Source organism: Homo sapiens, chromosome 18 (genome assembly GCF_000001405.40).
Source record: "Homo sapiens chromosome 18, GRCh38.p14 Primary Assembly".
Classification (NCBI taxonomy): Eukaryota; Metazoa; Chordata; class Mammalia; order Primates; family Hominidae; genus Homo; species Homo sapiens.
In genome coordinates, this window is record NC_000018.10 from 69704911 (window position 1) to 69717249 (window position 12339).

At 37.5% G+C, this 12339-nt stretch overlaps 1 protein-coding gene across 3 annotated transcripts in view, besides 1 other annotated feature; it reads left to right on the forward strand.

Moving 5' to 3' along the window:
• Positions 1–12339, forward strand: part of DOK6 (docking protein 6) — a 448200-nt gene that overhangs the window by 304023 nt on the left and 131838 nt on the right. The window lies entirely within an intron of this gene.
• Positions 924–1727: an enhancer, noted in NCBI's record as "OCT4-NANOG hESC enhancer chr18:67373070-67373873 (GRCh37/hg19 assembly coordinates)". NCBI's record gives its function as "activates a minimal SCP1, AML or CMV promoter by ChIP-STARR-seq in naive and primed H9 embryonic stem cells {active_cell/tissue: H9 hESC(naive and primed)}" and the evidence as "EXISTENCE:reporter gene assay evidence [ECO:0000049][PMID:30033119]".

Consider the following 12339-nt stretch of genomic DNA (forward strand, 5'->3'; position numbering starts at 1 on the left):
AGGGAAAGTTTGGGAGGCAAGCAGGCAACAGTCACTGGTCCTGGTAATTCTGAATTGCTGCTTGCCAGATATCTTCAGGGTCTTTATCCAGAATTAACAAGGATATGTGGCTGGGCCCTCATTCTGCTCTTTGGGAAGAACGTGCCAATCCTCTATTCCACTTGGTTCTGCCCTCGGCCCTCCAGGAGGATTTTCCTTTATCATTATCCTCCTTGTCCATATTCGAACTGGACGTTGGGAAAATGTTCTCTTTGAAGCGTTGCACGTTTCTCAGTCCACATTCTACCCTGAGAAGTTGTAGTAGAGATCTGAAGGTTACTGAATCTTAACAAGTTATAAATATTTTTTATTTACAGCCTGTTTTCCCTGTAAAACTTTGTCAAAATATTACAAGATTTCTTGTGTATTTAGTGCCAATCACTTGTACCAAGGAAGTGTTTTCTTGGTTTGTTTTTGTTTTGTTTTGTTTTGTTTTTTGAGCTCTATTTCTCAGATATGCTCTGATTGTTTATTTCTTCCCTCAAAACTGTCTTTTGATTTGAAAGGTGCCTTGACTTTGTCAGGTTTTTGTAGGAGCAGCACTCACTTAATTAGATAAAAATGACCCAGGGCAAAGAATTAACAGATTATAATGGGTATCCTACCCTTGAGCTGCTTTTTACCTTGACATACCTTAATTGAAAGGTTTTAGCAATAATTGTGGAGATTACACTTAATCTGCTCTTTTCCTTGAGACTGCTTTAGCTTGGTTTTGTCACTTAAAAACATTAAGTGTCTGTCTCAGAGTTCTCTTTTCCAATTTTACAAGGTTTTGAATTTTTCAAATGCCTTTCATTTTTGCTTGAAAATTCTCAATTTCTTTCTAAGAGCCTCTTTCTTTTTAGTACCATATCAGTCAACAAACACTGTTAACGTTTTGTTATCTAACCGCTTTCCCTAGATGTTGTTGGAGGAATAAAATTAAAAACAAAATCTCCCAATGCAGAAATCTTCTCCATAAATGTGATTAAAAAAAAAAAAAACACTCCATTATTTCTGCTAAGAAACTGCAGACAGAGGGAGAATACCACCCTTTGATATAGCCATCCAGGTACAACTCAATACATGCAGGTTCTCAAGGTAAACAATTACTGGTCTCAAGCGAGAGAACTTGACAGCACTGTTTGTCACACATGCCTCATCCTTGTAACTGGGGTAACCATTTGTGTTGGCTAATTGGCTTTATGCAGAGGAAAAACAAACTTCTTGTATCTTTATGACAAGAGACAGTTTTGCAAGTTGGAGAGAAGTAGCACCTGAAGTTAGGCACCCTCTCTGTTACAGAAACTAGGAGATGGGGGTGCATCTCCCTTCAGATTTACATGTCAAAGGCACGGTTCATGAGTCCTTGAGAAAGGCATTTTAGGGTCTTAAAGCTGACAAAAGACCTATCTGGTTTTCAGAAGAATTATTTACATTTCAAAGAGAGGAGGAAGTGCTTACAACCGAAAGTTTTCTAAAGTTATATGCCCTAAAAAACAGGAAGGACAATTGCCCATTTTCAACAGGGAGAATAGAGCCTCTTATTTTTAAATTTCACATTTGTCCATACAATCAAGAAACTCTTTTTTTTTTTAATTTTATTATTATTATACTTTAAGTTTTAGGGTACATGTGCACAATGTGCAGGTTAGTTACATATGTATACATGTGCCATGCTGCTATGCTGCACCCATTAACTCATCATTTAGCATTAGGTATATCTCCTAATGCTATCCCTCCCCCCCTCCCCCCTCCCCCCACCCCACAACAGTCCCCAGAGTGTGATGTTCCCCTTCCTGTGTCCATGTGTTCTCATTGTTCAATTCCCACCTATGAGTGAGAACATGCGGTGTTTGGTTTTTTTGTCCTTGTGATACTTTACTGAGAATGATGATTTCCAATTTCATCCATGTCCCTACAAAGGACATGAACTCATCATTTTTTATGGCTGCATAGTATTCCATGGTGTATATGTGCCACATTTTCTTAATCCAGTCTATCATTGTTGGACATTTGGATTGGTTCCAAGTCTTTGCTATTGTGAATAGTGCTGCAATAAACATACGTGTGCATGTGTCTTTATAGCAGCATGATTTATAGTCCTTTGGGTATATACCCAGTAATGGGATGGCATGAGTGAACTCCCATTCACAATTGCTTCAAACAGAATAAAATACCTAGGAATCCAACTTACAAGGGACGTGAAGGACCTCTTCAAGGACAACTACAAACCACTGCTCAATGAAATAAAAGAGGATACAAAGAAATGGAAGAACATTCCATGCTCATGGGTAGGAAGAATCAATATCTTGAAAATGGCCACACTGCCCAAGGTAATTTATAGATTCAATGCCATCCCCATCAAGCTACCAATGACTTTCTTCACAGAATTGGAAAAAACTACTTTAAAGTTCTTATAGAAACTCTTAAGACATGAAATCGGCCTACCAAGTTATCACAAGTTCTACTAAGAGGCAAGAGCTTTACCGAATATCTCACTGCTAAATATCATTCTCCCAGCTTGCTTACTAGTTTCCTTCATCCCTGGCCCAGCCACTATTTCAGTGCCCTGTATCTTAGGGCTATTTATTCATTTATCACTGTACCACTATTAGGATCAAGTATTAGGATCATCACTTATCCTTAAGTGATGAACAAAGTCTCCGTGGTTTATGCAACTGGAACTGATCTCTCACTCATGCTAGTCCACTCTGATTCTGGGCAACTATCCTAGGCAATTAGGACAACACTCACATCAAAAAATAGATGCTTTGGCTTCAGCAGGTGTCCCTTCTGTTCATAGCCCTTTCTTGGGAACTAGTGATAAGGTTTCCAGATTGTGCTGGGTGCAGGAAATGAAGGGGAGCATGAGACATTTGGAGAACAGTCCTATCTAGGCAAACGGGCACCAAGTTTAATTGTAGGGACTCAGGAAAAGCTTCCTGAAGAAGATGATTTGCACGGCGAATCATAAAATATGAGTTGGACTTCTTTAAGGTAGAGTGTGAGGTTGGCATGAGGATAGAGGGGTCAGGTTACTCTCCACGACGCACAGCACAGGCAGAGCACGGATGGTTCCTTCTTAGCGGATTTTAGCTGCTGGAGATTAGAGTAAGAATAAAGTGGGCAGAGAGTTTGTTAAAAGTCAGATAAAGCTCAAAACCAGGAGTGTTTTCTATGTCATGTCAAAAAATAAATTGGACTTTATCTTACAGGCAGCAAGGAGTTGTTTTTTAATGTAGCAAGTAAACAGATTTAAATTTTAGATATGTCTATCTGGTGACTCTGTGGAGGATATTTTAATAATAATCCTTTAGGTTAATAATTTATAATACGCAATGTGCCTAGGGCAATATTGTCTGAGCAATCGTGGTTTGAAATGACATGGGAGAATGAATCAGACCGCTCCGACTCCGCTTCTGCATGAGCCAGCACTTTCCCTGTGCCTTCAGTTATATTCTGTTAACCTTTCCAAGGCTTGATTTCCTCATCTGTGAGAACCTGATAAAAATATACTCTGCTATGTCCACCTTCAGTGCTGATATGAGGATCAAATGAAATAATGTGCTTTGAGGCCGGGTGTGGTGGCTCACGCCCGTAATCCCAGCTCTTTGGGAGGCCGAGGCAGGGGGATCATGATGTCAGGAGTTCGAGACCAGCCTGACCAACATGGTGAAATGCTGTCTTTACTAAAAATACAAAAAACAGCTGGGCATGGTGGCGGACGCCAGTGTCCCACCTACTCGGGAGGCTGAGGCAGAAGAATCATTTGAACCCAGAAGGCAGATGTTGCAGTGAGCCGAGATCACGCCATTGCACTCTAGCCTGGGTGACAGGGCAAAAATCCGTCTCAAAAAAAAAAAAAAAAAAAAAAGTGCTTTGAAACAAGGGCTTTGAAAGCTGTAACACAGGTATAAGAGATGATTAAATTCGGCAAACACCTATTTTTACCTGCACAGCACTGGACAGGGCAATATAGGGAATCAAAAACGAGCCTTTCCTTTGAAGAAATCAACATTCTTTCACGAAAAATGCTAAAACACCAGAGCATGATTTTGTAGCTTGAGCTGCAGGAGAGTGATTGCAAACAGTGAACCGAGTGTGAACTCACAGTGGGGCTCTCTCTGTGGGAGAGCGATGCCAATATCACTGCTTTGTCCTTATTTAGAACATTTCGTGAAATCTTCTTTAAGGGGACTTTTCAAAGCAAGTTCATGTGCCCTTCAAGAACATCCATCGTATGACTCTGGTGTCACTTACTTTAATGGTGGTAATAACCACATGCATTAGCCTCACAACTTGTGAGGCTTGAAATCTAATGAGTGCTAGGAATGGAGTCCTGAAACTATTATTTTTAAATTAAATAGCCAAAGTCTTGTCAAAATTCCTTATAAATGAAAATATGTTTCATTCTTAGTCAAATAGATTAACTTATCCTTGACACAAATGTTAATTTTTTTCCCATTTTTTATTGCAATATTTTTTAAAAAAATATGTTGATAGATGTGGATTCAAGTCATCTACTTTTGTTGGGAAAATGTTAAAACTCTCACAACAAAAGTCTAGGAGGAGGGTCAAAATTATAGTTGCCCTTGTATTTACAAGATTTTTTTCTTGGTGTTAAATAAATTCTAGACAAAGATTATAAATTCATTATTATCTTTATCTTTTACATACACATATCATATTATATGTACTTGATCATGGTAATTAACTCACAATGTCTTATGTTTTACTAAAATTAAAGAATTTAAAATTATCTGGGTTATTTAGCATTAGCAAAAGGGTAAAGAAAAAAGATATTTTTCTTGTTATAAATAAAATTCAAATTGTGATAAAATCTGTTCTTTCAAAACTATTTTTTGGTCTTTTATTTCTTCTAATATCTTTACTTGCTTAGATTTTTCACCATCTGATTATAACTTCTTGGCCACTTGATTTTTTAAAAAATTATAAACTTACTGGCTAGGCACCACTGCTCAAGCCTACATTCCCAGCACTTTCAGAGGCCAAGGCTGCCAGATCGCTTGAGCTCTAGGAGTTCAAGAGCAGACTTGGCAACATAGTGAGACTGCTTCTCTACTAAAAATACAAAAAATTGGCTGGGTGTGGTGGTGTGCACCTTTAGTCCCAGCTACTGGGGAGGCTGAGGTGAGAGAATCACCTGAACCCGGGAGTTTGAAACTGCACTGAGCCATGTTCATGCCACTGCACTCTAGCCTGGTCAACAGAGTGAGACCCTGTCTCAGAAAAAAGAAAATTATAAACTTACTATTTTTAATAATTTTCATTACTGTAAATGAAGCAGATCAGAAGAGGTTTAACAAAACTTAAAGGGGAAAAAACTGACTTTTTGGACACTGAATATATTCTAAACATTTTTCTAATTTTCACATACATTATAGCACAAAAGTCCTACAAAATAGGTATTCTCATGCTTCTCACAAATGAAAGGAATACAACTCAAGAATCAAAATCAATTTGCACACACATAGTAAAACCAATCCAAACCTCACAGTGCTGCAAAAACACATGTTCTTCTCATGATAACATAGCTTTGCTAATACGTCTCAGGTTTTGTGTTTGGAGGTCAAAGAACTTAATTTGTGTGGTAGAGGTTCCAACAGCAATTACTAATAGATGGGAAAACATATTATCTTTTGACCCGAGGAGATATTAGATTACAAAAAGCAAAATTAGTGCTAATGTAGAGCAAAATTAGTGTTAAGTGTAGAACTTCCAGACACTAGATTTCTTTTGTTAATATTTCTAAGTAGATCATGGATTCATAATTGTCTTAAAAGATAATGTAGTCCATCATAAGATATTCTGCCATGAGAACAAAAACCGATTAAACTACAAATAAAATTGGGTATTTTTTGTTTGCTTATTTTACCATGAAGAGTTGACTTAGATGAAATAGGTAGCTTGGTTTATTCAAAACAAGTTCTACTTTCACCTGACCCAAGCAAGGCTGTGTCTTAATAGAAGATACAGAGACACTAGAGGTGATGGGAGCATAAGGCTCAACATTTGCTGCTGATCTTAGATCTGCCCTCTAGCTTTGGTTTGTCTGCTGTTACTCTTCAGGCTAGGTCTACAGTTCCAGAGAAATATTTTAGAGTTAATCAACCCTTCAAATAGAGGTGAGAAAAAGCTTTCAAATTTGTTTTCCATATATGGCACCTGGAACACCGGCTTTATAAGACACCTCCAATTCATATCATTAGAGGAGCAAAGAAAACAAATGCACAGAGATCCTGAGTCCATGATATGCTTTCCCTCAGACCTATTTCCAAATAAATATTTTCATTTACAAGTAAAATTAGTAGGCAATTAGCACCTATGGAATTCATTACCTTTGGAAATACAATCCCGATGATAGTGGAATCTTTTAATGACGAACGAGGTAACATATTCAAATAAAATCATCCTTAATGAAGCTGTGATTAAAAACCACTGCAATTTTCATACCGTTGTTAAAAATTATGTTACTTGTAGAACTTTTACTAAATTTTACTTTTCATGTTGATTAAAAACAAAGCAATTAGTTGGTATATTCTCTGAATCATTTCTTTGGAAAATCAGCATCTACTTGGATTACAATTAGTATACATGAAAAAATAATGCTACTCTATTCTTTAATATGAAAATATATTTGCTCCTTGAAATTCTGAACAATCCATTTTCCTTTGACATTTGTTTGTCCAAATACTCCTCAGGGCATCACATATTTATTTGCTCATCTATTGCCTGATGTGTTTCAATTATTTAATTGTATAATACATGAAAAGTGCCAAATAGTTAATTTTATCCTACTTTGTAGGGCTGATGTCAAGTCAGTTAGGAAAATAAACAATACCACTTTGTATCAGAAGAAAAAATCTTTCCTGACTTTTAATACTTTGTGAATTCTGTAGGCGAAACCATTCGTGGCAGGCCCCATACTTGTTTTCTGTTAGTTTTAGGTACTTGTCTTTTTCCTTATAGTCACCCTAAAAAACTCAAAATAACCAGACAATTGATGATTAATCATTCTCTATACTGGCATAAAAAATGAACCTTTTCGGCCGGGCGCGGTGGCTCACGCCTGTAATCCCAGCACTTTGGGAGGCCGAGGCGGGCGGATCACGAGGTCAGGAGATCGAGACCATCCCGGCTAAAACGGTGAAACCCCGTCTCTACTAAAAATACAAAAAATTAGCCGGGCGTAGTGGCGGGCGCCTGTAGTCCCAGCTACTTGGGAGGCTGAGGCAGGAGAATGGCGTGAATCCGGGAGGCAGAGCTTGCAGTGAGCCGAGATCCCGCCACTGCACTCCAGCCTGGGCGACAGAGCGAGACTCCGTCTCAAAAAAAAAAAAAAAAAAAAAAAAAAAAAAAAAAAAAAAAAAAAAATTTAACCTTTTCCGAATCACATTTGTGTAGAAAATCAATTCTGTGAAGGAACACTTTTATGAAAGAGGCAATGGATATTATTGTGTTTATTTTGAAGGGTGCAATTTACAACTCAGAATAAAATAGGAAAATACTAATTTTCAGGTGAAAGAACACCTAGACAGATAGTGTATAAATGTATATAATCCACCAAACTCTCTGGGCATGCCAATTATCTTTCTATAAATGTACATTGGGACCTGGCAAGGTGGCTCATGCCTGTAATCCCAGCACTTTGGGAGGCTGAGGCAGGCAGATCACTTGAGGCCAGGAATTTGAGACCAGCCTGGCCAACATGGCGAAACCCCCCATCTCTACTAAAAATACATAAGTTAGCCAGGAGTGGGGGTGTGCACCTGTAGTCCCAGCTACTCAGGAGGCTGCGGCAGGAGAATCTCTTGAAGCCGGGAGGCTGAGGTTGCAGTGAGCCGAGATCACGCTACTGCATTCCAGCCTGGGCGACAGAGTGAGACTCTGTTTCAACAACAACAAAAATGTGCATTGGAAGCTCACGTCTCCAAAATCCCCAGTAAATGAAGTGCTAAATATAAAATTATATCTTTCCTGATTTGATTACATAGGTGGAAAAGATGCTTGAAAATATTGCTTTCAAGATACACGAGACTGACCTTGAAATTACAGCTACAATTTAGAAACTCGGAGATTTTTTGCATGCCAGATTATCTAAAGGGTATCCGTTACTCTCTCACAAATGATCACTGAGTTTCTATTATTTCAGAGATATTCAGGACGCCCAGATCACAATCTATCCCTAGCCAGTTGAATGAGAAAGCTATTATTTATCGTTTTAAAATCATGATTAATCCAGTTGTGGGAAAAGCACAAAGAAATGAAAGGTAGAACTTGTGACAATTATTCAACGAGATCTCAAATTCATGAAGATTTTTGCTGAATTGGGGAAGAAAAGATTTAGAAGTATGCAGGTAGCTAAAAAGTCAGATATGTTTATTTCTGTCATCATTATACCAAAATAGCATTAAAGAACTAATACTGTGGGAGGTAGCATGGATTGTGGAATAAGCTTCCTGCATACCAAATCTCTTTTATTTATGTGTATTCCAGAGGTTCCTAACAACTGAATGCAACTCTCTTAACACAAATATACTTATGTACAGGCAGAATTTGCTGAGATACTAATGAGCTATGGCTTCAGGACCCCTCTGTTAAAGGTGACCTTGCACCCTGTTCACATGTGATCATATATTTTTTGTCATTTTGCACATGACAATTATTTTTCTGTTCTTTATATTTAAGTAAAACGGCCTCTAAAATTGTATAAGTTTTCAGCCTCACAAAACTTGCATCTGTACCTTCTTACTCTTATATCTGTTTAATTATCTTACTCAAAGGGGTGCTGGATTTCTAGAACTATATCATACCTTTTTTACACCTCCTCCTTTTCAAGTGGAACCCGTGAAACTCCCAGGATGGTAGATCTGCATTGGTGTTGTGGTATATCACCATGAAACGTGATGCTACTGAATCACATAGGATTAAGCTCCCAGTCTTGGCTCTAAGCTCATCAGTACTCCCAGCAAAGTGGTGAAAATAAATTATAGATTCAAGGATGTGTCCCACTATGGTGGAGGAAGGTACACACCTAATCTATGATCATTTCTGTCTCGAGTACCACTAAAGGGACCTCCAGCGGGACAGGAGGTGATGCAGTCTCATCTCCTTGTAAACGTGCTGGTGAGAAAACTCCTGGTAAATAGACTACTGATCTTTACCAAAAAGAGACTCCCTATATACAGACTGCTCTTAGCAGCATTGCTTCTAGTTTAGGATTACCTATGGTAAACAGACGTACAGCTTCTGGATTTAGGAGGCAGAGCTTTCTGGAGAATAACAAACTACAGTTGGGATATTAAATAGATTTCCTAACTCACACACTCCTTGCTGGGGGCACTAGTGCAGACCTGGTGTAGTCTGAGCCAGACAATGCACACCCGAAGGCAGAAGCGGGGCCCTGGGAGCTGCCTGGACAGACTAGACCTCTCCTGCTTTGTCCTGGGCCTCCTGATTCTTTCTGTCGGTGTTTCTATACTTAGATTGTTTCTAAATATCAGTAACTTGATGTTTAGTAAATTCTCTTGATAATTTCATCCTTTTTATTGGCTCATGCACCAATATGCTCAAAAATAGTTTATGTGGAATAAGTAAAATAAACTTAGAACAGAAATTATGCTCTGTTAATGTTCTTTTATAAATGAGTAAGCCATAAAAATAAATATTTTTTAGCAATATATCTGCCTCAGAAGAAAAAAACTAATAAACGTTGCAAAGAGATTGTTTTAAATACCAATATACCAATTGGTATAAAAAGAATTTAGAAGGAAATTTTGCAAGGCAATTCACCTTGATCATTAAATATTTAGCAATATTTTCATAAAAGTATTTTTCATCTATGCAGTGCAAAATGTGATGAGTGTATTTATATAAATTTAGGTAAGTTGGATTATACTTTCATTGACTCAGAATTACTCCAATAATACACGAATCAAGAAAGACTTGGTATGAACAATATGTATATGCAGAAATCAAATCATACCGTAGAAAATTACTTTGTATATTTATTTAATGTGTTTTTTTGTAATAAATACAATATGAGACACTCATTACCTAGGGAAAAGCTCTAGAATGAAAAATCCTTTATATATGACTAAATGTGGCACTATTACGTTATACATGTCTCCCATTAAGGCCATGTAAGGAAGTGCTTTGAACAAGAATATAAAATCTACAAGACAAATCGGTCTAGATTCTGCAAGATACTTCTCTCCTTTGGGGATTAGTTTCCTAATCTAAAAACTGGAGATTAATTTTGCCCAGGCCACGCAGTTGTTTTTAGAATTAAGTGAGATGACACTTAATTTAGAATTAAGTGATGATGACGTCCTGGCAAAATGTAAGCACACCATAAATGGAAGCCACATTTATTATTAATTGGACCCATTGATGTCTTCTTTAAAACTTTAAGACAGTAGCAGAACTTAAAGGGCACCAAGGTTTTATATTTTTAAAGATAAAGTAGAAATCAGGTCCCAGGGCAGGATGCACACAGGCTAAACTAAGTAGCATATGGTCTGGCAACTTTTCAGACTGTAGAGGCAGAGGCATCAATCAGCTCTCGCGATCTCACGCACCCTGTTGCATGACAGAGCTGTCAGTCGAGTGCATTGTTAACCACAGGCCTGATGAGGAGTGGGAAGCACAACTTTTGACATTTGACTTTGCAGATGAATGAATTCTTCCAACTTTACAGTCTTTGAAATAAAGGACTCTCTCTAAAGTTCTGTGTGGCAGACTCATGCTCCATTACTCTGGAAAGAGATTGTATTAGAAACCAGTCAGATCAGGATCTGAATTGGTCTTGTTGGCGTTGAAAGTCCCCCTTGACTTTCTATTTGCTTTCCTATTACTGCTCCAAAACCATTCTACTGGTTCACTTAGCGATTTTTGAGGCTGATGAAGGAAGTGATTGGGGTATGGACTGTGAATTGGTTGGTTTGCATTTGAGGTTGCATTCATTATATCACTACTCTATGAAGATAATTGGCAAAACTGTTCATTCAGCAGAGAACTAGAAAACAAAACCATTCGTTATTCTGCTAGAATTAATTTTTTTGTAAACATGAAGTCTAATCAAAAGAAAAAGGAATGCTTTAGCAACATCATTTTAGCAGCTGCGTCCCAGATCTATTCAAATCAAGTCATTGATATTTTCTCCAATCGTGCTAAGCAGGCTAAGATACTGATACATATCTCCTATGGAGGTCAGAGAGCAGCATCAAACCCTCCCAGATAAAGCAGGGCCACAGTGAGACAGTATTCTTTTCTACCTACTGGATTTATTGAGGGAATTTGTAATTTGAGGCTCATTTAATCCATGTTATTCTGTAAAGCCATACTTTGAGGGGTCAACAGGAAATATTTAGTTGAAAATGTCACCATGCAATGCGAACTATGAGGCAATTTAATATGCAATTATTTTAAGCATAATTAAAAGTGGCAAACTATAAATATGTTGCAATGATGTTCTAATACGAGTGTTTCAATTTCCTCTTCACTTTGGAAATGATGAAAACCTTAACCCCTGAAATAGCTCGGGTTTTATTTTGTCTTGTGTCTTCATTTGTACAGGTTCTCTTAATTCTATACCGTGTACACACTGCTTTTCCTGTGCTAATCTGCCTCAAAATGTCCCTTTGTTTCAGAACCCTTATTGCCATTTAAAGAAAATTCTCAGACTGTGTCTGCAGTTGCTCATAGTTGTTTTGGATAACAGATTCTCTGCAGAATTGACAAAAAAAAAAAAAAAAAAAAAGTCTTCTGGTTACCTATAACCAGGAACTGGCTTTTTAAAAAAATTGTTCTTGCGCCCTAAAGTGGTGTTTCAAATTCTGCTCCTTTTCCTAGGAGTAATTTCTTAATTATTTCTGATTTCCAAATGGGTACCCAAGTGATCAAAGCCATCGACTCCACCCAGCACCTGAGTAACACTGACTTCATTTCTATCCCTATAGTCTTGCTTTGTACTAGAATGTCATTTAAATGCATGTCTGGCTACTTTCACCCAGTGTAATGCTTTTTAGATTCTTCCATGGTATTTCACATATAGGAGTTTATTCTTTTTTATTGTCATATGAATATACTATAATTCCTTTACCCACTCACCAGTTGAGAATTTTAAACATATTTTAGTCGATTGCTTTATATAAACTTGTGAATTCTGGTCTAAAGAATAATTCTGTCACACCCTTCCTGCAGCACAGGTGGAGAGATTGACTCGTTTTATTCCATAAACTCCTAAAACCCAATGTAGATATATTTCTGGGTTTTAATATCTATACATGTTATTTT